The following is a 26,653-nucleotide window of genomic DNA, read 5'->3' as shown; positions in this document are numbered from 1 at the left end:
TCAGTACCACCCACCTCCACACATGCACACAGAGGAGTAAACACATACATATGGACACAGAGACACAGGGCAGCACTGTCCCTGGAGATTCATCAGGCCTCTTGCCCGAAAATGCAGAGTTCATCCAGGGGTCAGAACTGGCTTTGACTTCCTGTTTGAGGAGCCCCATGTGTGGTGTTCCAGCATTGCTAGAGGCTAGTGATGACTAAGTAACCTTTTCACACTATAGCCTCCCACCAAGAAACAAGGTCCCTTATGATCTTGGACCCAGAGTGATTAGGGCACAACAAATATCTTTTTAATATATAAGGTGGAACTAATGCCAGTAGAAATAGCACTTTGCTGTCTCATGGCCTCACATTTATAAAAAGAGGATAGAGCTGTTGTCTTTGAAGATGAAGAATTTTAAAGGCAACCTGATTTAGTCTCAGAGTACACTAGGGACTTTCATCGTTTAGTAGTTGCTTAAGGCTAACTTTGAGCTTTACCTGACCCAAGTCTTCAAAGGAAGCCATCATACTATGTGTGGAGTTCAGCTGGTAATATCTTTCTAGGTAATCTGGATTGTGAACGAGTGGGAACAGGCAGCACTTTCAGGTTTAACTCTTTGCAGCACTGGGATAACTGGCACATGCTTCAAGGATTAGGTCATTCTGATGTCCCTCCAGTAATTCCACTGGAACAACACTGCACAATAAACCATTTGGTTTCTGGACATATATTGCCCATGTGTGAAGGGTGGACAGGCAGCACTTTACTAGGTTCTTCTCATACAACCTCAGGTTTTTGAGGCTGCTGAGGTTTAAATCCCTTGTCTGAATATGGGACAACTGTATTTCTATACTGGTTGTCGATTGTCTTTGCCCTCAGAGGGCATTTGCTGCAACTCAGGGTTCTACAGTTAGAATAAAAGGAGTTATTTCCTGTCTTCACTGCTTTTTTGCTTTTTTTTATTTTTTTATCATGAGTGGAGACTGAGTACATTACTCAAACCTTGGCTTTTCCCTGAGGTCCGTTGTTTACAGAGAGACATTTGGGTCCCTGGGGCTCACTCCCATAAAATCTTATTATCATATATTTCAAGGCATAAACTTCAGTTGTCAGCTCAGGAGCAGTTCTGAAAGCACTGGCTGCTCTTGTTTTTCTTCTCCTTTACTCTGGTTTATTTTTCTTGCAGCTTTGGCTTTTTTTTTTCCCTTCTCCCTCATATCTAGCAATGCTCAATTCCAAGCTGGCTCGCTCCTTATTCCACTAATTAGACAAGAAGTCCAGAGAGGCCATTATTAGATTCTGAGAATCTTTATCAGAGCCCATTATGGCCTTAAATACTGCACAAACATTTTACTAACTGAATCCATGAACATTTCAGCTGATCCACCTTTGGTCTTTAACATCTACCTTCTTTTGTACCTATAGAGTTATGTTACTGATGATAGAGGTTCTCAACAGCTTATTTTTCTTTGTATTAATTTTCTTAGAGGCCATGATTCAAGTTCATTCTCTCTCTCTCTCTCTCTCTCTCTCTGTCTCTCTCTCTCTCTCTCTCATTCTAATTACTGTTGGTGGGGGTGGAGGGGGTCTGAGAAGCCTGCTTTTCCTTGGTGAGATACGTGTGAGTATGTGTAATGTCATATGTGTTAATGTCACCAGTGAGTAGGATTCATGGTTGCCTGTTTTTCTCTCATTTTCTTTACAGAGCCAGGGATTATTTGTATGGACCAATGGTCTCAGTTTTCTTTCAATGGAAGAATAATTCTGCATTATAATATAGTAACTGCAAAAGAAAGCTTTTTCTATTTCACTCTTTTCTTTCTTAATTCACTGTCTAGTGAGTTTCTGATTGACTCACAGACCAATTAAAGTAAAATTTAATGGAAGAATAGATTAACTCCCTGAGGTTTCCCTACCATCCATCACATTTTTATAGCAGGAGCTGTGAGGAAGCTCATAACTTCATGCTGTGAATGTGATAATAAAGAGGGCACAGAGAGGATTCCGATTTACTGCCAGGCTGATGTTCGCCAGGACAGAATTTACTGCCCAATCCCCTTCCCCTTTTTATTCAGGAGGAGGTCACTAGATCTGCCCTCAGCCTGGGTCTGAGATACTGAAGGGCAGATTGTCAAGTCGAAATTCTTTCCCTTTAATTGGGCTGGTGGTGGTGCGGAATGTGAATTTCACTGTCCAGAGATGGTTATTGTGTTAAATTCATTTCTGTCTTCAGGAAGCTGTGGTCACCCCAAGTGTTCATATTTTTAAAGGGTGCATTTGATTTGTTATGATTCATATAGAAAATCAGAAGTAAGGCCAGATATTTCTGTTTTCAAGTCACTAAGTCATTGTCTTTTATTTATAAGCTTTTTCAAATAACTAAAGATACCTGTCTCTACATCTTCATAGTCAACATTAATAATGTCTTTTTCTGGGCATCTTTCATTTGAAGATCTCAAAAAGTACTTTATAACCATTATTTTGGTCTTTCTGACAGGGCCAAAATAACCTACTAGCCTTCCAAACATTTCGCCAGTTCACTGTTTCTCTGAGTCATCTTAAAAATAAAGTGTGACAAGGATCACAATATAATAGTAGTCATGTGATGGAGCTCCATATCCATGCCTAAGATTAATTTTGTGCACTTATTACAATTTTTTACTTCATGAAGCAAAGTCTGTTTTTTAGGCCTTGACTATTTAAACCTATCTCAACTGGGCGCGGTGGCTCATACCTGTAATCCCAATACTTTGGGAGGCTGAGGTGGGAGGATTGCTTGAGCCCAGGAGTTCGAGACCATCCTGTGCAACATAGGGAGACTGCTGGGCATGGTGGCACACGCCTGTGGTCCCAGCTACTCAGGAGGTTGAGATGAAAGGATTGCTTGAGCCTGGGAGGTTGAGGCTACAGTGAGCTGTGATCATCCACTGTACTCCAGCTTGGGCCACAGAATGAGACCCTGTCTCAAAAAAAAACTCAAAATAAATAAATAAACAAACTTATGTCAAGTTTCATGACTACATGAAAGATAATCTTTTTGTCCCCAGAAGCTTGGTGAGATAGAAATCAATATTTTAAAATCATATTCATCTGATTGTCCTTGAAGTCAAAGCCTGTAATCCCAGCATTTTGGGAGGCTGAGACGGGTGGATCACCTGAGGCCAGGAGTTCGAGACCAGCCTGGCCAATATGGTGAAACCATGTCTCTACTAAAAATACAAAAATCAGCCGGATGTGGTGGCATGCGCCTGTAATCCCAGCTACTCGGGAGGCTGAGGCAGGAGAATTGCTTGTACTCAGGAGGCGGAGCTTGCAGTGAGCCAAGATCATGCCACTGCACTCCAGCCTGGGCAACAGAGCCAGGCTCCGTCTCAAAAACAAAAAACAAAAAACAAAACAAACAAAAAACAACAACAACAACAACAAAAGCAGAGCGAGGCTCTATCTCAAAAAAAAAAAAAAAAATCTGAACCAAACTCATCAATCTTTCCCTTCACCAGCCCAGTCTTCTTCATGTATACAAAATCTTAGGAATTATTCCACCCTTCAATGTGTTGTGGATTGGAAACTTGGGAATGGTCCTAGATTCTATCTCTCTTGCACAACTAGCATTTCATTGGTCACAAAACCCACTGACTTTACCTCTTCAAAATCCCTTAAAACCATTCCTTCTCTCTCCTCTTGCCTTAGTTCAAAGTTCTCATCACCTCTTTGTCGGATTGCCATGATCATCTTCCAGTTAATCTCCCTATCTTTCATCCTCCTCCAATACATCCTCAATGCTAATAAAAGAATAATCCCTCTAGAATGCAAATTTTGTAATTTTACTGCTAAAAATACTTAAATGACCTCTCATTGCTTGTAGCATAAATTTAAATGCTGTACCATGGCTTACACAATCTTTAGTAAGGCAGCATAGCTTCATGGCCTAGAGCAATGATTTATAGGTTTGGAACAGTATCATGGGATTGACAATTTTCAGTTTTGACCAGAACATTTTTAAGATCACTACCACCTTCTAGCTACGTGATTTCACAAACAAAAAAAGAATTTTGATGTCAGAAAATAGGAAGAACACAAGTTAGGAATAAAGTCTCTTATATTGAATAATGATACAACTTTATGGAAAAAATCACTATGTAGTCCTTATTTTCCTCATTTTACCATAGCCCTGAAAATCTTTATGACATTCTCTTATTGTATTTGGGAACCTGAAATGATTAGGGCACAACAAATACCCTTGTAATACGTAAGGTGGAACTAACAACAAGTAAGTGGATGGTTTCTGGAGTCAGAAAGAACTGGATTTCAAATCCAACTTCATGACCTAATAGTTGTATGATCATGAGTGAGTCACTTATCCTCACCAAATTCAAGTTCCCTTATTCATAAAATAGAGATAATGGTAGTACCTACCTCTTACTGTTGTTTTGAAGATTACATGATACAATGCATAAGAATTGCTTGGCCCAGTGCCTGGCACATAGTAAGAAATGTAACTACTTGACAATAGAGTAGATATTACTATTTTGACTTCCTGACCTCATTTCCTGTGACTCTCCTTACAAGCATCCTATGTCTACAGATATACTAAATGACTTATCAAGTGTAAAACACACTCTTACACACCTTAGCAGATACTTTTCTCTTTGTCTGGAATCCTGTTTCTTACTTGTAAGTCTGGTGAATTCCTTCTCTTCCTTCAAGATTTAGCTCAAACTTCGCAGTCTCAGTTAACATCCTATTCGTTCCTCCTCCTCCATTGGCAAGCAGTCTTCCATAGTCTCACAGCATTTTATAAATTGCCAGATTTACACCAAGTACTTTAAATTTGTTTATGTAATCTTATTAAGTGATTAAGTAACCTAATATGATAGAGAAATTTATATTTGGGGATTGATTACTTTTCATTCATTAATACAAGGAATATTTATCAAGAACCTACTGTGGTATATAAACCTCTACATAGTGTATATTCCAATAATAGTAATGTAATATTCAAGATTTGGAAACAATTACCCTCTCTGTGCTCCCAAAGAATCTCGTAGAAACCTTAATACAAATGATAAATTGCATTATAGTTATTTGTTTACATTCTGTCCCCTTCTCCTCTAGACTGAGTTCCTTCACAGCAGTTATTTTACTCATCTTTGTCTCTCCAGTACCTAAAACTTTGAAGGTGCTCAGTGTATGTTTATTGAATAAGTGAAGGAATATCGGAAAGCATTTTCAACTTTAAAGAGCTTTGCTTAACCTTGTTAACTCTATGTATGAATGTATTTTTCTCCCTTGACTTTGAAATGTTACAATCATCACATCCAGTGTAACTATTTTTAAAAGGCCCAACATCTTTTCAGATGGTTCCTCATGAATTTTATCCTTCAAATTGTGTCTGCCACTCCACCCAAAATCCTGGGCTGGCTTTCCTCTTAAATCAATGGATCATTTCTCAAAGAAAAGCAAGTGTGGTCCCTTGAGCTACATACCAGACTTGTAGGAAAGACAGATCTTCTAGTATTCTCTGGTATATTTGACTATAGGCTCCTGATGAGTAAAGCAGGAGAAAGAGCTATGATTACTGGTCCAAGTACAAGCAAGACTTGCCTCTGGGTGATGTTATTCTGGGAGTGGAATAGCATCATACACTTGCTAAGTTCTCAGCACTGTGAGTTGGAGTTGGGAGGTGAACACCAACATTCTTTGCCATCCTCAGCTTTGCTGCACTACTGAAAGATTTCATGGCATTAAACCTCTCTCATGCTTGTCCTACTTTAACACAATTTCCAGCAGCATCTTGGATATTCTTCTATTGTCCACTTATCAGTTACCTTAGCACAGAATGAAATGACTGTGTCTGCATTCAGAGTTTTGTTGTAGTTGATCTTGTTCTGCAGTTTTCTACTAAATGGAGTCTGTGAGCAACTTTGATGAACTCACTAAAAAAAAAAAAGTGAAAGCTAACTTTTGAGGCTGTTCAAACTTGATAGTTGTCTAGCAAGTTAGGACAATTTGTTACTTTATGGACCTTCAACCATGGTGATGCTGAATGCTCCATGGTCACACATTCTGTGGTGTTCCCTAAGTATACACATTTATGTTCATTTCTCACTTTCTTTGTAGATCTCTGCCACCTCCCTATCTTCAGGTCCCTTTGCTGCTCATTCCCCTTTTATATATCAACAATACCAGATATTCCCCACTTTTCCACATCTCTCTTTTTCCAAATATTGTTCCATTAGTCTTAGAGAACTCCTATTCATCCTTCAAAACCCAGCTCAGTCTTTGTCTCCTCTGTGAAGCCTTCACATATACACACAAGGAAAAACGTAACATTTCTTGAGCTCCTATTAGGATTCTCATGCTAGGAACTAGTTCGATACTTTTACAAATCTTGCCTTGCTTTATCTTCACAAAGCATTTTAAAATACATTGAGATCTCCATTCTCAAAACATAAAACCAAGGCTAAAAGCTTTATGGCAAGCAATTGAAATATCCAGAATTTAAACCAGGGTCTGCATGATTTCAAAACTCATCCTTGTTCTGCCATATCATGCCACCATAAATCTCCTTTATTCATTTTGTATTAATGCATACATTTGTAATTTTGCTTTTTACTCATCACATTCTGTGGTTATTTATTTGACTGTCTTTCCTACCAGAAAAAAAAAAGTGCCTTGAAAATAGAATGTATTTCTTATTTATTTTGGTACCCCCACAGATCTCAGAACATTACCTGACATATAACAGATGCTGAATAAAGGTTTCCAGGGTTGGATTGCATCTGATTAAAATTAAGTTGAACTGAACAACATATTACCTTGAATTTCAGAATTTTGCATTTCTGATGATATCTGGGGCTCAGATGCCATTTACCTCATGCCAGATGACACATGGCCTCAGTTTTCTTCACAGGTGTCCATGTCTAGCCCTGTACCAATTTCATCCTAAACAACTGCCCATATTCCCATTAATGTGACATAATCATTAGCATATATAAGTTCCTAGAGAACTGCTTTCTATCTCATGTCTTTATTGTAGTCAATGGAGTATACTCAGTCTTTTAGGAATAATTAAAATATTCTGTGACTCTAATTAAAGTAGTCTGGATATTTTTAAGAAACCTATATTTAAGAACAAGCTGAGGGCTGACATCAAGTTAATTGTGTTATTTTTAGTGGAGCTATCATTGGAGACAGCAGCATGGCACCCAGTGCCTTTTTTTAATCCTCATATCTGAATATAAAATGTTAAATAACCAGCATCTTGAGCTCTTAAGAGGAAAGGCATTAAAGCATAAATAAATAAAGCTGTTATGAAAGCTTAGAAAATTATCTAAATGCACTTGAGTAAGAAGTCATGTACTTATTAAATTGCTAGTTATAGAGATAAATGCCCTTAAACCTTTCACTGCCAAAAAAACCAAACACTCAAACAACTTGGAACTCTTGTCATATAAGCATGGGGGATGCAGAGAGAGAAGCTGTTGGCTTGTATTTCTGCCACTCTAAGTAAACATTTTTTTTTTCTCAAGACACAGTCTTGCTCTGTCACCCAGGCTGGAGTACAATGGCACAATCTCAGCCCATTGCAACCTCTGCCTCCTGGGTTCAAGCAATTCTTCTGCCTCAGCCTCCCTAGTAGTTGGGATTACAGGTGCGAGCCACTATGCCCGGCTAATTTTTTGTATGTTTTTAGTACAGATGGGGTTTCACCATGTTGGCCAGGCTGGTCTCGAACTCCTGACCTCGTGATCCACCCACCTCGACCTCCCAAAGTGCTGGGATTACAGGTGTAAGCCACCACACTTGGCCAGTAATCTTATTTTACCCATATTTTATACAATTAGTACAGTAAAATTTTATAGTATTATATTTTATCTGTTTAAATTACAGACTATTCTTGTTTTTACTAGAAGTCAGAATTTGTCCCCTTCTTTCTAGTTCCATCACCAAACCTTTGCCAAACAGGGACAACACAGTTCAACAAAACCACACATTCTAGCACTGCCATCCTTTCTCTTTTCTATTGATGTAAAGAATCATCAATATTTCCTTTTAACACCCTCCTTCACCTTAATCTCAACTGAACATTGAAACCCATTGCAAAGTAGCCCCATTTAATTTTCCATAGCTGAAATTGAGTTTTTTCAAATGTGAGATCCAGAACTGGTGACCTCCCCAGATTGTGGTACCCATTAGCCACAACTGCCACAGAGTTCCTATTGGAGATGGAGCATTTCTTTTGTAAAATTTACTCAGGAGACACTTGCCAAACCAAGCTCCTCTAGTATCTTGCTGTTTTCCATGATCAGGATTGGCAGAAATGCATCTCTCGAAAACAGTCCAGGCACAGTGACTTATATAAGAACACAATCATGGTTATGAATATCCACTAGACATTCTGATTCTGGATAATCTGTGAACCTAAGAAAAGGAAGATCAAGCAGTGAATTTATTTGGAAATAATAGAACTGTTGGTTGGGTTTTGTAGGCTGAAGTTCTGTAGTTAATCATTATTCTGCGAAATCCTGAATGATGTTGTTTGTAGCTTTCCTATGCAGGCAGTGTCCCCATGGGAGTCCTACTAACGGTCTTTTGTCAGGCACTATCAGCAGTATTGAGCCAGCCTGAGCACCCTATTATTAATCCTTTTCTCCTAGTGACATGACAGCAATCGATGTCTGAACAAGCTATTGAAACTGTAGCAATCAAGTGGACTCTGGTTAATCCAATGGGATACTTACTCAGAGCCTACGAGAAGGGCAGGGAATTTTTTCTAACTCCATACTGTTCCCATATCCATATACTTTATGCTGCCAATATTTGGGTAAAGGCTGACATTTACCCAGGCCTGTAAAATACACAATGGAACCTTTACCGTTGACTCAAATACATTTGTATCACCTTTACAGCCATCTGTTACTTCTGTAAATAAACTTGTGATCATTATATAAATATTTGTGCCCATGTAAATGTAAAGCAAGAGCATTGAAATCTTTACATAAAAAGGTACCCACCTGGTGGTATCTTTGCACTCATAGAAATCAATCAGCAGTTACAAAGAATAGTATATAGAACACGAGACTATCAGATTTCCTGTCCCTTATTCCAGATGGAAAGAAGTCTAAAATGGTGGTGCCCAACCTGGCATACAGATTCCTGAGTCCCATTTGCACAGATTATGATTCAGTTAATCTGAGGCACGCCCAGGAACTTGCATTTTTAGGTTCGAAGGTGACTGGCCTACAATAGCAGTTTTCAGGCTATATTCCTAAGTGCTTTAGTGTTTCCTAAGAGGCACCTATGTGGTTTGTAGGGTGAAGAAAAGGGGGTTAAGAAGGAAGAATACCAGGAAGGAGAGATCTGTTCTTAGCTTTGCTAGCAAGTGCCTCACTTTTGGCAACTCACCTCAGCTTTTGACTTCAGTTTCTCAGATTATAAAATATGTATCAGTAACGTGTGCCTTTGTTTTTTTTACATAGGTATTTTGAGAAGAATGAATAGGAGAGTATAGAGAAAATAGGAATTATAGAAGATAAAGCCAACTTATCCATCAGTGTAAGAATCTATTAACACTAGGTTATATAGTCCCTGCTTAACCCTGCAGTGAGGTGAGGCTTCCTACCTCATGACCACCATTATTCCCAAAGGCTGGGGAGGTGGAGGCTCTCTAAGGTCTAAAGGGTCTTTCTCAGGCTGAACTTAACCCCCACTGTCATTAGCTTCAGCTTGTGGGTCCTAGTACTCCCACTACTCCCTATTTCTATGGGACAACCCTTCAAATATTTCAGGACAGTTAGAAGGTCTCAGCGTAAAATTCCTTGCTTTCTTTTTTTTTTATTAACTCATTTTCTGAAACCCTCTCAACTACATAGAGTATTTAGTACCCTTCTACTTGTGTAGTACCCTTCCTCAAACTATGCCAGTTGTTAAGTTAATTTGCTTTTGCTTTCTGCAAAAGCAGCCTTCTTTCTTCAGGCTGTGTAAGCATGTATGCTTTTACAACAGCTATTGCAATAATCCCTACACATTATTAGCTGTTTTTTGAAATAATGGTATAATTACTGGTCTGAGAGACCCTTAGTGTGAAGATCTCTCTCAAACATGGAAGCATAATAGAATAATTTAAGGGAGTCTGTTAAAAATGTAAATTTCCAATAACCTGACCCAGAAATTCATTCTGATATCTGGTGAAACAGGGGCAAGGCTCTAGAGGTATCTTTAAGGTGCCCAGGTGATGCAAATGCAGCTGATTTGTAAACCACTGTGTACACTAACTTGAAAATACTATGGTTTAAACAGACTGGGACAGAGAGATGTAAACACTGCCTGCATCTATCCTTTAACCTATCCCTGAATTAAATGCCCACAGCCTTCTTTCTTCATCATCTGTATCACATCTACCTCCTAAACTGTGCAGATTACATGAGATAATATATGTAATACATTTCATTATCATAAAGGACTATACAATATCTTTTTTATGCAACTGTGCTTTTATGCAAAAATCAGGTTAATATGTCATTATGCCTCTATTCTATTCCATTTCATTACATGTCTGTCTAATAAAGATTTAGGATCTTACTTATAATTATATATGCTTACTCACTCATAAAACAATTTTTTTTGAGACAGGGTCTCACTCTGTCACCCAAGCTGCAGTGCAGTGGCATGATCGTGGCTCACCGTAGCCTCTATCTCCCCAGGCTCAGGGGATCCTCCCACCTCAGCCTCCCAAGTAGATGAGACTACAGGCACACACCACCACACCTGGCTAATTTTTTGTATTTTTTGTAAAGACAGGGTTTTGCCATGTTGCCCAGGCTGGTCTCACACTCCTGGCCTCAAGCGATCTGCCCACCTCAGCCTCCTAAAGTGCTAGGATTACAAGTGTGAGCCACTGCAACCGGCACATAAAACAAGATGATTATCTTCTTTGTGTATATGTTAGTGTAAATCACTTTTTGCCAGGCATGATCTTCCCTCTCCCCCATCAAGCAGTTCTGGAAGAATCTGCAGAAAGACACCTTTGAGTTTAACACAAAACAAAGCTTTGTTGATGCTTTAACCTAGTATGGACAAGAAAAGACATCCTGGAAGGCTGTCATGTGGACAGCAAGTTCTAAGAAACAGGTTACACAAGAACATTGCCTGGTTTATTATTTTTAATTTAATGAACATTGTTCCTGTAAAAATTGCAGGGCAGATATTACAGGAAATCAACATCTTTTTTTAGCCCTAGAGCAGACAGCCCAGTAATGGCCATGGCTGGACAAGTATGCCTGACCTGCATTCTAACCAAAGGGGCATTGTTGAAAAGTGAGAAGGATTTTTCAGTTCAAGGTCTGAGCCTGGATGCTCTGCCCTTCTAACAGAGACTGTCAGCATGGAGGCGAATTTTGAAACTAAGTTTTGTGATGTGTGCACTTTCCACTAAAAACTGGACCAAGCCCAAGACTCATTTCTCAGGGTTTCCTATCCAAGCACAAGATGAGGAATGGTCTTTGGTCATTACCACTTGGTTTGGAATAGCCCAGAGGTGAAAGAGTTGCTATTAGATTTCATTAATCTGAAGAACACTGTTTAGGTTAAAATGTCTTCTTGCTGTTATAATTGGAGAGGGTGACATTGGTGTTTAGCACCAGCCAAAATATATAAACTCAAGATTAAGGAGAAAAAAGTTATGAGTTGAACCTGTGAGTTTAAAAAAACTGCAAATATTTTATTTATTTTTTATGTATATTTTATTTATTTATTTATTTTTGAGACAGAGTCTCACTCTGTCACCCAGGCTGGAGTGCAGTGGCATGATCTCAGCTCACTGCAACCTCTGCCTCCTGGGTTTAAGCAATTCTCCTGCCTCAGCCTCCCGAGTAGCTGAGATTACAGTCACCCACCACAACGCCCAGCTAATTTTTGTATTTTTAGTAGAGATGAGGTTTAACCATCTTGGCCAGGCTAGTCACAAACTCCTGACCTCAGGCGATCTGCCCACCTCGTCCTCCCAAAATGCTGGGATTACAGGTGTGAGCCACCACGCCAGGCCCGCAAATGTTTTATGATGACAAAAAAAGGTTTAGTACTGCTAACTTAACTGATGCTTCTAGGTAGTTGATGATCATCATTCTCTTGCTTTATTTCCAAGTCTACGTAATAAAAACAAAAATAAATAAAATTTTCATATTAAAGCTTCAGAACCCTAAGTTGAAAAAAGAGATTCATACTTAACCGCAGGTCTTTTGGGTGCCTACAATGTGTCAGACATGGTGCTAAGTGTTGGGTGTAAAGAGAGTAGGATCCAGACCTCACCCTCAGGGATGCACGACCAAGAGTACAGAGACTCACTCCAGACCTGAAGGCAGTGCTGAGAAGAGGCAGAGAGGTCTCCTCTCTGAGCTGAGCATCAGATGTTAAACTGTGGTGTCTTTCCTTATCTGCCCCAGCTCTTACCCCACCTGCCTGTAGAGGGCCCTGTGCCAGCAAACCACAGGGTTCTATTAGGAATCCCACCACAGTGTCAGCTCCTTTAGCCCAGCTCTGTGGTGCCTAGTTCTCTCTTCAGTTTTCCAAAATGCCTAGGACCTGGCCCAAAACCCCAGGCACTAAACAAAAAGGCTTAACTGAGCTCTGGCAGTCACTAGCTGTATAGTTTGAGCAAATTACTTAAACTCTGTATCCCTCAGTTTCTTCATTCATAAAATGGGAAAACGCCTACATCATAAGGTTGTTTTGAAACCTGAATGAGTTGATACATGTAAAGCACTTAGAACAGCAACTGATACATAAGTGGAGTCTAATAAATGCTCACCAGGCTATTTCCTCAGTTCTAACACAAAACCTAATACAAGGCTTAAATTATTCAAGGCCCACCTTTGCTATCTATTGGGTATGATTTGAGAATTTAACACAATACTGCAGCAATATTTGAATAATGCTCCAAAAGCAGAAACCAACCTATAGAAGCATCTATGATTAGCTCTGGTCAGATGTCAGAAAACATTTCAGGCTATTCAAGTGTCAGTGCTCTCTATGGGAGGTTTATTAACAATACAGATGTTCTATATTGCGTTTTTTAGTGAGACACAAATACACGGTGTGAAAAAATTAAGTATTTTAGAGACAGACTTTTTATTGGTGTATTAGAAAGATTTCTCATGCTCATTCAATCTCTCTATCTCTCTATCTCTCTTTGTCTTTCTCTCTCTCTCTCTCACACACACCCTACCCCACCCCCACATCTTATATAATTATGTTTCCTGCAATCTTAACAATACTGAATTACATCAGTGTTTCTCTATGCATAAGCCTGCAACTTAATTGTAGATATTAAATATATGTCATAATATCTCTGCTACTTATTAGTGATCAGGATATACACAGAAATACACCTTGAAATGAATGAGAGACTTTGTAGCTCCAATATTTTTATTTATTTAACCAACATTTACATAGTGCATATTGTGTTCCAGACACAGTTCTAAGCACTATTTAGCAGTAATTCATTTTATCCTCGTAACAACCTTATAAGATAAAACTGAAACACAGAGAAATTGATCAGTTCGCTGAAGTCTCACAGCTGGTAAGGGTTGGAACCTGGATTCAGAGCAGGCTCTCTGGCTGCAGAGTCCATGTTCTTCACCACCACTCTCTACTAGCCAGTCAACTTCATTTCTTTCAGACCCCACAATAAAAATAAAAATGAGCTTCTCTTTGAGACTATGTTATGGAATCTCCCCTTGATAAAAAATTCCAAAATGCCAATCCTCTCTGCATTCTATAAAATTCTAAAATTCTTTTATTTTCCACTAGAGGTAAAGAATTCTAAAATTCTTAACACAAGGTGTTAGTGCTCAATTGGCATTAATTAGTGGCTATGATGATGCATAAAATTTAGGTTTTAAAACATTTTTCAGTCCCTTTCTGTACTGAGCTGGAGCTTGAGTGATGGGGTGCCCAGACAGAAACCAAGAAAGATCCAAGAATCTTAGGACAGAGAAGGAGCCATGAACTCATGTAGTCTAGCCTACCCATTCTGCAGACCAAACTGCAGATAAATCAAATGACTTGCTCATCATTGCAGAACTACTTTGTGTCAGTGCTAGGACTAGCGCACAGAACAAGAATAAACAGGGGCAGTTTAGGAAATAGTCTTTCTGGAAACTCTTAATTTTTCCCAAGCCCTAGAGCTCTTTTTTTATACCATGTTCCCTCTCCATTCACAGAAACTGAAGTAAAACTTGAGATATCATGCCAGTCCTGGAAGTCAGAGTAGTGAAAAGTCCAGAATCCAAGTTAAGTAGGGCTTGAAGAATTCACCTGTGCCAGAATTCAAAGCAAGCTCAATAACCAAAACTAGAGAGCCAAGCTAAGGTCAAGCCAAGAGGAAGATACACTAAAGGGTGAGGCAAGACAGGAAGCTCAAGTCCAGGCAAACTGGAAGGTATGGAGTTAGGAAGAGGTAATTGGAATCGCAACAACCTGCCCATTTCAAACCCCACAGATGTTTAAGAATGTCTCAAACTTGGTGGAGGGTGCGAGCTCACCCTAAATAGCACATCCCTTTTGAATAAATTAAGCATCAAGTTTACCATGCAGACTGTATGGAATTTTTCAAGATCAAAACCACCAAAATCAAGTTAAATGTCCACTTCAAAAAAAATAGGCAAGATTATGAGTTACTGCAACTCATCTGATAGATCTATGCACAGTAAGCTTGTTAGCATCTTACTTTATCTGCCAGTGAAGACTGGAGGACTGAGCTGATTCAGCTGGGAATTGAACCTGTGGTTCCAGGAAGTCTAGATATTTCAAACCTCATACTTAGTCCATTAAGATATCCCCTCCAAGAACATAATGTAGTTAAAGTAGACTTAGATATCTTTAATACAGAGAGTGGATTTTATTTCCACTTTGGGAATTTCTGATCCATAATAGAGATATAGATGAAACTTACCTACAATAGTGCCTATAGAAAAATGCATGCATGTCAACATATACTGTCACTTTTCTGATTTATGATTAAGAAGGAAAAAAAAAACGTATCTTGGGGGAAGTGGATTACAAATACTTCTGCTAAATGGAGGCTTTATACATAACTCCCTTCTCTTATTCTTTCTAAAGATCCATTCTTGCCTGTCTCAATAAAATAGAATAAATTATACTTACTCAAACAATCTGAAGAGAGACCACGGATTTCACACATCTGTCAGGTGGGTCAGTTTATTTGGGGGACAGTAGGGGAACATCCTGTACCATTACAGGCTGTCAGCCACAGAGAATGTTTACTAATAAGCCTAGCCATTAGGTTGGGTCAGTGATGGATGGTCTATGTTCCTCTGCCCTGGCCTGGCATGTGCTGTGCTACTCACTGACCAGCAGCAGCTGTTGTACTAACCGCCTTGTTAAGGGTCTCCCCAAGTGACATCAGCTATACATCACCCTGGCTGATACCTTTGATTATTTGGACAGCTCCTGGCATGATGAATCGTTGGGATTGATCTGTCTTTTCTCGCACGTCCTAGTCAGTGTTCTTTACTCATCTCTCTCAACTCTTCATTCTTAAGTCCAGGGCCCTTATTACTGCACTTTCAGATGTATGCATCTCCTACCCTCTCCAATTTAAGGGACCTGCTGGTTTCAGTATTCATAATAAGGAATTGAGATGAGGCTGCGGAAAATAAGTGCATCATAGTTAGAACAGGCAGGCAGAGGAAACAGCAGTCACTCTTGCAGCCAGAAAAACAAGGAGAAAAAGCTTTTTTCCATGGGCATCTAGGGCTCAGCAACCTTCATTACTTAGGTCATGGGCCCTCCGCATAATCCATGTGGTACAAATTAAATTTGAATGCTGTTGGTAACCTGAACAATGCTTTCTATTTATAAGATCCTTTTCTCCCAAAGAGTGCAAATCATTTCACACACAGTATTTCAAGCATCACCATACGTAAAAGAAGTTTTATCATCTTGATTTCAGAGAGGGAAAAAATGAGCACAGAAAGCCTATATACCCAAATCTACTTGATAAATAAATGTGTGGCAAGATCAATAACAAGACCTAAAATCTCTGACTCCCTGCTATATTCAGTCCTTTAATTCATTGATTTTTAAAATGTTGAGTAAGCACCTACTGTGTGTGCCAAGAGCTGGGAATACAGGGAGCCTCTATGGGACAGCCGTTAACTCATTCAATCCCATTTATATTTAAATCAGTTTTAGTGAGGGAGAAGCATATTGAAATATACTACTTTACTTTAGAGAATTTGCGTACATACTAGAAATACAAATTCTATTTCACTTTACCATGAATGAACCAGAGGCCATAGTAGACTGCCCTTCTCTATTAAATTTTAAATTTCTGCCCCCTATAGTTATTTGTAGTCCTTTCCAAATCTGTTGAAATTGAGTAGATTCAAATATGGCTATGTAAAAGCAGTAGTTCTCTAATGTGTTCTGGTACACTTGGCAAAACTTCATTAAATATATGTTTAATTCTATCATACAAACTGTACTGACACAAAATATGGCCACATTATATGTATGCAATATAAACTCTCAGCCAGAAGCACACCCATCTCCCCTCCCCCAAAAGGCCACTAAGTATGGCTTTTTGAACTAAGCATGATCAGTGGTCTCCAAAAATTTCCATTAATATATTTATTTACCATTTGTTCTTTTTTGGCCACCTAAAGTGGTAAAATAACACAAGGTTTAAGAGAAAATTTAAATTTGATGACAGTTCCTATCCATTAACTAGGCATAGGTATGATACCACATTGTTCCAGAAAGAATCTAAGACAAGAACCAGTTTACTTTGTTAAGAATTATTATTCTATTTGAAAAATGGAATAGTTCAGTCAATAGAAGAATAGTTGTAGAGCAACTATATTTAAATCATCTTCATCACTAGAAAAACACTGGCTTTATTATGTCATTTCCTGACTGAAAACTTTCAATAACTCTGCATAGCTGAGGAGACCTCCTAGCCTCTCCAGTTTAAAGGACCTGCTCATTTCAGCATTCATAATGAGAAATTGGAGTGAGGGAAACTAGGGAAAACTAGATTATTAGAACTTGTCAGCCTGACCTTTGAAATCTTTCAGAGTTTGTCCTACACCCATAGGATAAATGTTTAGCTTATTTCTTAGAATACACCCACACCTACATATCCACCAAAAGCTCCAGGCATCAGTCAAGTTACTGTTGGCTAAGAACACATTATACTCAGTGTAGACTTTCAAGCTCTTGCTTGTGCTGTTTCCTTTCTGGAAAGTTCCTCCTCCTCCTCCTCCTCCTCCTCTTCCTCCTCCTCCTCCTCCTTCTCCTCCTCCTCCTCCTCCTCCTCCTCCTTCTTCTCTCTCTCTCTCTCTCTCTCTCTGTCTCCCATCTCTCAGAGTTCAGCTCAAGGTACTCTTCTCCACAGTCTATACACACTGCCTTCTCTGAGCTGTAGGTTTTTATTTTGGTACCTATATACTTTTTTATTGTTAATTAACAATTTCAGATATTCAGCTAGAGGCCATCTGCTTTTCCTCTCATACTTCTCACATACAGTGCCGTGCACATCTGCTGTTCCTTGGTACCTTGTACTTGTAGTCATAGAACATGCCAGTAAAGTTCTGAGTGAATAACCCCAAGCAAACTGTTAACCATCGGTCACTATGAGCTCATAAAAACTGGTTAACTTGGCTTATTTTCAACAATTGCTTATTTTCAAATGCATGTGATAGTTCTTCTAGACTTGATTGATGGAAATTTGCAGGCATTTCTGTGCTTAGACTGATTTACCACTTCTGTGGCTTGGTTTATATAGATACATATCCACATGGGACATTTGCCCACACTTCAGTTTTCAGCAGTTCACAGATGATGCCAAAAGGGCATTTTCATATACTGCGCAGCATATAATGGTAGTAATGTGGAAATTTAGGAGCAACTAGGAAAGTATCCAGAATATAAGGGAGTGGACACATAATTCAGAGAAGTGCTGTGTTGCTCATAATTGAGCACCAGTGTCTTAGTTGTGCCAGAAAACCACTCCAGAGAAGTCAGAAACCTAAAATTGGAAGGGCCCTAAATTTCCACATAATAATTTTTATCTTACATAGATCTTTGTTAAGCATAAATCTACTTCTGATTCTTCAGACCTTAGTTGCTATAACTCAGTTTCCATTTACCAAGTGAGAATCAGCAGTTTTTAGAATGCCAGCATCTCCAAAACCACACAGGAATTGAGCTTAAAATCTGGTAGCATTTTAACACTGGAAAGCTTGACTTCAAACCATGCACCTTTTAAGAGGGCTTTTTTTTTTTTTTTTTTTTTTTGAGACGGAGTCTCACCCTGTCGCCCAGGCTAGAGTGCAATGGCATGATCTCTGCTCACTGCAACCTCTGCCTCCCAGGTTCAAGCGATTCTCCTGCCTCAGCCTCCCGAGTAGCTGGGATTACAGGCACTCACCTCCACGCCCAGCTAATTTTTGTATTTTTAGTAGAGATGGGGTTTCACCATGTTGGCCAAGCTGGTCTCGAACTCCTGACCTCGTGATCCACCCGCCTCAGCCTCCCAAAGTGCTGGCATTACAGGTGTGAGCCACCACACCCGGCCTTAAGAGGACATTTTAGGAAGCATTAAAATTATTCTACAGCACTTTGGGAGGCCGAGGTGGGCGTATCATGAGGTCAGGAGTTCAAGACCAGCCTGGCCAACATGGTGAAACTCCATCTCTACTAATAATACAAAAATTAGCCAAGTGTGGTGGCAGGGGCCTGTAATCCCAGATACTCAGGAGGCTGAGGCAGGAGAATTGCTTGAACCTGGGAGGTGGAGGTTGCAGTGAGCTGAGATTGTGCCACTGCAATCCAGCCTGGGTGACAGAGCAACACTCCATCTCGGGAAAAAAATATATATATAATTCTTCTATATGCATCTCCTATTTTAGCTATGTACATTTTTCAGCTACAAAAGCAAAGCAAAACAAAACAAACAAAAAAACCCAAGTCAGTTCATCAATATCTCTTGAATACAGTTTTTCTTAGAGACAGAAAGAGTGTAGGAGTATGAAGGAAGAGTAATTAATGGAAAGAAAACTTCTAGAAAATCCTAGATGATAGCTAAAACTATTATTGATTTGTATTAGCGTGAGGAACCCTTTTTGTCATATTTGCCTAGGGTTTCCTTTAGACCAAGCTCTTTTTACCTCAGCTCCCTACGCTTAGGCTCTTTGTGGTTCCCTCTACTTCTCAAAGCCTGTAGCTAACTGTAGCAACTTAATTTCTGAGAGAGTGGTAAGAGTTCCAAGTTACCCCTTAGACATTTCTGGCACCACCAACCACCATTGTTGTGGTTGACTGGGCTTATTATAATAATAATTCTTTACATTTACATACCATATTTCATCACAGAATCACTACAAATTATAGATGTTAACCAATTGGGCTTTCTCCCTCCTTTATCATCAGGAGGAGTGGGCAACAGAGACGTCTAGACAGAGAAACTGAGTTAGGGATATTTCAGTATTGATAAGTGAGTTTAGGGCAAGAGCCCTTAAAACATGCAGTGCTCTCTGTGAAGGGCAGATTTTTAAATTACGCCACCATCCCACTGTTGAACTGGAGAACAGAACTGAAAGAGACTGCAGGCAACCTTGTGGATTTCTTAAAGATACTCGGCAATTCTGATCCCACAATTATTTAACTTCTTGAAATTGCTCCTGTTTTAATTTAAGTCAATTTCTCTTGCGGCACGAACAGAATTAGCTGGTTAGTAACCTCCTTATAAAACATTTGATATAATGCACTATACAGTACTTGAAGGTTTAAACCAAAACACCATTTAGCCTTATGAGCTCCAGGCTAGGAAATACAAATTCTTTTAGCCATGCCTATGTAATTTCTCTAGGATTTTTAAAAAGTAATTCTGTAGCAAACTTTACTCAAGGAGAAACTGTTTTAGTCATTCTTCCTTTGTTTCCTAGTGTTTCAGAAGTTGACAAAGGCATTAGTTAGTAACAAACTACTTTGATAGTTTTTTGTCAACTTTTTTATTGCAATACATCATATATACAGAAAAATGCGCAAATCATAAATGTAGAACTCAATGATTTATTTATTTATTTATTTATTGAGACAGAGTCTCACTCTGTCACCCAGGCTGGAGTGCAGTGGTGCAATCTTGGCTCACTGCAACCTCCACCTCCCAGGTTCAAGCGCTTCTCCTGCCTCAGCCTCCTGAGTAGCTGGGATTACAGATGTGCATCACCATGCCCAGCTAATTTTTATATTTTTAGTAGAGACGCGGTTTCACCATATTTGTCAGTCTGGTCTGGAAGTCCTGACCTCGTTATCCGCCTGCCTTGGCCTCCGAAAGTACTGGGATTACAGGCGTGAGCCACCGTGCCCACCCTGGTGATTTTTTTTAACAAAGTGAACACACTTATGTAAGCCCTACCCACATCAAGATATAGAACATTACCAGCACCCCTAAAGCTTCTCTTTCTTTTTTTTTTCTTTTCTTTTTTTTTTTTTTTTTTTTTTTTTGAGATGGAGTCTCGCTCTGTCACCCAGGCTGGAGTGCAGTGGCGCAATCTGGGCTTATTGCAACCTCCACCTCCTGGGTTCAAGCGATTCTTGTGCCTCAGCCTCCCAAGTAGCTGGGATTACAGGCATGTGCAACCACGCCCGGCTTTTGTATTTTCAGTAGAAACAGGGTTCCACCATGTTGGCCATGCTGGTCTCAAACTCCTGACCTCAAGTGATCCTTCCACCTCAGCCTCCCAAAGTGCTGGGATTACAGGCGTGAGCCACTGCACCTGGCCTGAAACTTCTCTTTATGCCCCGTCCCAGTTATCTCCACCAAAATAACTACTATTCTGACTTCTATCACCAGATTAATTTTGCCTATACTTGAACTTCATATGAACAGATTCATACTATATATACTTTTGTGTGTCTGGACTCTTTCATTTAGCATTATATTTGTGAGGATTGTCCGTGTTTTTGCATGTAGCAAAACACATGTAGTTCCTTTGTTCTCATTACTATATAGTATTTCCTTTATTCATTTTATTTCATTCTATGGTAGGTAAACGTATGGTTTTTTTCTGCTTTGGAAATATTGTAAATAATGCTGTTGTGAACAATCTTATATCAGACTTTTGGAGCACCACTATGTTGGCATTTCTGTTTGGTATATAGCTAGGAGAGGAATTGCTGAATTAGAGGGTATGTGCGTATTCCGCTTTAGGAGATTCTACCAAACATTTTTCCAACAGACTTGTACCATTTTTACTCCCACCAACAATGTGTGAAAATTCCAGTTGCTCCTCATTCTCACTGATACTTGGTATTGTCAGTGTTTCTTAATTTTAGCAATTCTGGTGGGTGGCTGTAGTAGTTTCTTCAATTGAAATAAACCAGCTGCCTGGAGGGATTAGGTCTCTGAAAATATCCTTTTTTCCTGCTTCCATTGTACATTTGCCAGTGGATCACAGGAACATCTCCTCTGTGAGGAACAAAGTGGTAGCCTAGCCCTCATTTGCATGACTTTGAACTGTTATCTGTGGCTGCTGTAGCTTCTAGCCAGAGCAGACTGGGAGACACCGTGTGCAGCCAGATAACCTTTTCTTGTTCATTAAGGGCCCACTTAGCTCTCCATGGGGGTGCAGCAGACAGCCTAGAAAAGCAGGTAATGACTTTATGACTATATAATGCTAATTTCATCAATAATAATTCTAAGAGGAAAAAACCCAGAATTTAAATAACTGGGTTATGGTACCAACACACAAAAGTATGAAAGTCAGGTTGAGGACAGCTGTACTTGTTTTTGCAACTAACATTAACTGACATGACCCTATTCTCCATAATATGTATTCAGAGAGACTTTTAAACTGGATGCTGAAATCTAGAGGGGGAAGGGTTTAATTGCCTTGAAGTGTTTTGAAAATACTAACCAATAAACAGTCATATTAGAAATAGGCAGAACTGGTGCTTTATTTGAGGCTGGACATATAAGAGTTTCAAAAAGGTTTGTGGATGATAATTCCTCTCCTTTTGTCAGCAAGAAGTTCAAGTTCAGTGGCCAGTTTTTTTGCCAATGAGAAGTGAATAGTACAACTGACTTTTAAAATCAAATGTCACATTCCACATGGTTCCCACCTGGGTTTTAGTTTCTCAACAATGGAATACAATTTTCAATAAATCTAGAGATAAAAATTCTGCCCAAGTAACCTCATTAATATTGAGGGGACTCTTCTCTATTGGAAATCTGTGTGTTTTGTTCAAAAAATTGGAAGCAAAGAACTCTTTCAGGTTAATTCTAGAGATTCCAAAATTAAACATATACTATTAGATAAATACTAATAGGAAATTAGGTTGTTATATTTTTTCTATTTCTCTTTCTTAATCTGCCTTTCTCTTTATTCCCACTGTAAAATGTGTGCATGTTTATTCCTTTCTACTCTTCATGTTCTGATTTCACATGGCCACCCCATGAGGGTTTTTTTTTTAACAATCTGAAACCCCCAAAATATTGAATTATTATGGAAACAAGGTGCAGTATTTCAAGCATCACCCTACAATAGAAGTAACAGGATAATGATTTTCTTTCTCAGTTCAGATATTAGAGGCCCAAGTATTGATTGCCTGTTTCTTTTGCCTCCTGTGCTCTGATGAAACTACACTTTTGACACAAAGTCACAATAAAATGTGCCCTTTCCAGTATGAGATCTCTGTAAATGTCATTCACACAGTCATTGTTTTCTAATTCTTTGCATTTTCATCAGAGTAGCACACAAGCTCTTCGTTGAGTGGAGACAGAGCAAGCAGTGTTTAAATTTAGAATTCACTAGAACAACCAAGTTCCATTATTTTGCTAAGGACAGTTACAGTCTAATAATAGGACTCCTTTTCCATAGTGTTTATGAAATTATTATTCTTAGAATTGATTAAGTGATGAGGACTTTGATAACTAGAGGTTTCATGAAATGCTGTTGGGAATATTGATGTTGGGTTTGCCAGGCAAAGAGAGGTTGTAAAATCAGTGTGAATGTCAGTGTTTATGGATGAGAAGGGTTGGTTGGTAACATAAGCTGAAGCCAAGCTGGAGACCTAGAGGAAATGGCTGCTTCCCTAACCCAACTCTGCCAGCTAGTCTTCCTCCTGACCTGCAACATTCTTACTGTCTCAGCCCCAGGTCTCTGATCCTAGCTGTTAGCAAATGATTTGTGATTTTGTTTAAGGATAAATATCAGTGGTAGCCTAGCTTGAAGCCACCAAACTCATTTCATTTGTGCCCTGCACCAAATCTGATCCCAAAGGTGGCAAGCTGGCACATTAACACAATGTGATACTTAGTACCTTCCTCCTTCTCTATGAAATCAGTTTATCCAACAATATCTCATACAAATGACCTGCAAAAACAAGCCATACACAAAGCTTTCACTAACATCTTGATAAATGTAATTGGTGCACCTATGGCTTTTCAAGATGTTCCTATGCTGTGACCCTCTGTTTCACATAATGTAGCCTTTTAATTTATTTCCAATAGCTTCCCAGTCAGTCAGCACTGGCATCCTTTTTCAAACCTCAAATCATGGTCTGATAATCCATTTTGGTGCCTTTATTAGCCTCAAAGGTAGTTTGAGCTGTTAAAATTTTTTTTTAACAAATTTCTTTTGGATAAGAGATATTGCAGTGGACTCCATATAATTTTTACCTTTACCTAACCTTTTCTTATTTATTTATTTAGAGACAATATCTTCCTCTGTCACCCAAGCTGGAGTGCAGTGGCACAATCTCAGCCCACTGCAGTCTCGACCTCTTGGCTCAAGCTATCCTCTCACCTCAGCCTCCCGAGCAGCTGGGACTACAGGTGCACACCACCAGGCCAGGCTAATTTTTGTGTATTTTGTAGAAATGGGGTTTTGCCCTGTTGCCCAGGCTGGTCTCAAACACCTGAGCTCAAGCAATCCACCCATCTCGGTCTCCTGCAGTTTTTATCTGGCACCATTGCAGCTGATCCCATCTTGACAGCAATCCTACTGGAAATCTATTCAGAAACCCCTCTTCTGTTCATCTTTGCATCATCCTGTCTGGGAGATAAAGTTACCCAGGAGACCACTGAGAGGGCAGGTCTCACTCTTTTTTCTTTTTGCTTGCTTTCTATTGATTGTCCCTAGAAGAAAGGTAACTGATTTAAGGGGCCTGAAAATGATTTGGACAGACTATAAAGAAAATAAAAATGAGATCAGTATGAAGAAGTCAATACCACACACCTTTTTCAAATTTGACAAAAACATTTAAGTTCTGAAATATTTCAGGTAAAAAAATAAAATATGTGATAAGAGAGAGGCTTACCTGAGATGTACTTTAGGAAATCTGGACTTCACTTCTTTCTTATATTCCCCCTTTTCACTCTCAACACATGAAACGCTGAAAATGGAATTTTTGCTTCTTGTATTAGAAGAATTCAACATTTAAATTTCTTAGAAAGTTTTGAATCTGATACTTATAATATTTGCCAATCTGTCCATGAAAGAACATGCATTCTAGAGAATGTCTGACAAAAGAGAGGGCAAAATTTTATCTCTTATGAATATTCAGGCCAGGTGCAGTGGCTCACACCTGTAATCCCAGCACTTTGGGAGGCCGAGGTGGTTGAATCGCTTGAGCTCAGGAGTTCGAGACTAGCCTAGATAACATGGCGAAACCCTGTCTCTACAAAAAATACAAAAATTAGCCTGGCATGATGGTGTGCACCTGTAGTCGCAGCTACTCTGGAGGCTGAGGTGAGAGGATCCCTTGATCCCAGGAGGTGGAGGTTTCAGTGAGCTGAGATTGTACCACTGTACTCCAGCCTGAGCAACAGAGTGAGACCCTGTCTCAAAAAAAAAAAAAAAGTATATTCACAGTATTGGGTGCTTGTGCAAAGTGGACATAGGGTACTTAGTTCTTAAGACTTATCAGCAATATGTTATTTCAATTTCATAAGCAAGTAAGATAAATAGTGGCTTTGCAGTTATCACACACTCTATCAATGGGATGTTGTCAAGATAGAATCTCAGTTGTAAGCTCTCTATTCAGAGTCTTGTCTATAAAGTTGTATTGCTTCTATAACTCAAACAAGATCAAGTTGTAGCTGGCACCATTTTCCTCAGAGTAGGAAAGATATAACTGACTCCTGTTTAAGAAATGTCAAAAGTCACCGGAATTCATACTGCCAAGAACAACATGTGTGTGACATGTTGCTAAGCTTCCCTCTGCAGGTTTCCCCTCTGTGTCAGTGGTATGAACCCAGCAGCTCAGAATGAGGTAATTTCACAAAGGTGGGCATGTTGAACCCTTATGGCATCCTTCAGATAATGCATAGGTCAGAGATGGAATAAACAAAGCAATATGCTGAAAGCCAGCTGTTTAAGTGAGGAGGAACAGGCCTGGGAGTAAAGGGCTACATGGAGGATTGCAGTTAGGCTCAGGGGCTCTCCTGAAAGGTGAGCTTGCCCTGTTGGTGCTTATCTTACACAGTGAAAGGAAAGGAGGAAAACTGTCTCCAATTAGAACCAGGGAGAGCTGGTGATGCTGGGGCTGCCTCTATCTAAACCCTGATCTCATACTGCTTCCCTGTGGAGAATTATCTGAACTGCAGCTTCCCTCTGTGGGCCCCTGCCTGTCATGTCCATCCAGTGTGGTCTCGAGCCTGGACTTGGTATCATCCAACAGCAGGAAAAAAAAAAATTTCTGTTAAGAACCTTAGCAAAAAGAATGGGGAGGCCATGAGAAAATGGTCTTCTCCTGAGTCCAGAGTCATATCTCACAACAGGCTGATCTGACACGTCTGCATCCTCACCCTTCCCTTTTTACATACCTTTTTAAAAAGCCCAAAGCCTCCGTCTGCCCAATGGTGTTCCTTCGGTTCTGCTTTCGCAGATATATGTTGTGGCTTGCACCCTGGGGAATTCCAAATCAATTGTTAAAATTCCCTACTATTTCCCTGAATATTTTTCACAAAAGCCAAATCACAAGGCTATGGCCAACATAGAGGTTTCCACTTTTATCTTTTTATAATTATTATCACAGCTTTCTGCTTGTCTTCCTCCATACCCACCCAAGGAAGTGTAGACATAGGCATTAACAAGAATACCCCTACCCTTCAGCTACCCTTCTTCAGAGGGCATTAGGGCAATAAAACACATTTTAGATATAGATCTATAGCTGACTATTTCATTATGATATAAAAACAGTACTGTAGGAACATTACAGTTAGTATGGTGGTTCAATTTTTTTATTTCTCTATAATTTAAAAACCAGAGGCCAGGTGCAGTGACTCACACCTGTAATCCCAGCACTTGGAGAGGCTGAGGCAGGAGGATTGCTTGAACCCAGGAGTTCGAGACCAGCCTGACCAACATAGTGGAATGCCATCTGTTTATTTTATTTTATTTTATTTTATTTTATTTTATTTTACTTTATTTTGAGACAGAGTCTCACTCTGTCACCCAGGCTGGAGTGCAGCGGCGCAATCTCAGCTCACTGCAACCTCCGCCTCCCAGGTTTAAGCAATTCTCCTGCCTCAGCCTCCCAAGTAGCTGGGACTACAGGCACGCACCACTATGCCTGGCTAATTTTTGTATTTTTAGTAGAGTCAGGGTTTCACCATGTTGGCCAGGCTGGT

At 39.5% G+C, this 26,653-nt stretch overlaps 1 protein-coding gene across 10 annotated transcripts in view, besides 1 other annotated feature; it reads left to right on the top strand.

Moving 5' to 3' along the window:
• Positions 1–26,653, top strand: part of SKAP1 (src kinase associated phosphoprotein 1) — a 311,620-nt gene that overhangs the window by 203,686 nt on the left and 81,281 nt on the right. The gene's annotated exons all lie outside the window — the stretch shown is intronic.
• Positions 21,197–22,039: an enhancer, noted in NCBI's record as "OCT4-NANOG hESC enhancer chr17:46296699-46297541 (GRCh37/hg19 assembly coordinates)". NCBI's record gives its function as "activates a minimal SCP1, AML or CMV promoter by ChIP-STARR-seq in naive H9 embryonic stem cells {active_cell/tissue: H9 hESC(naive)}" and the evidence as "EXISTENCE:reporter gene assay evidence [ECO:0000049][PMID:30033119]".

This window comes from Homo sapiens, chromosome 17 (assembly GCF_000001405.40).
Source record: "Homo sapiens chromosome 17, GRCh38.p14 Primary Assembly".
NCBI classification, from domain to species: Eukaryota; Metazoa; Chordata; class Mammalia; order Primates; family Hominidae; genus Homo; species Homo sapiens.
The sequence above is the reverse complement of the archived record's forward strand: the minus strand, read 5'-3'. Positions and strand labels throughout refer to the sequence as shown.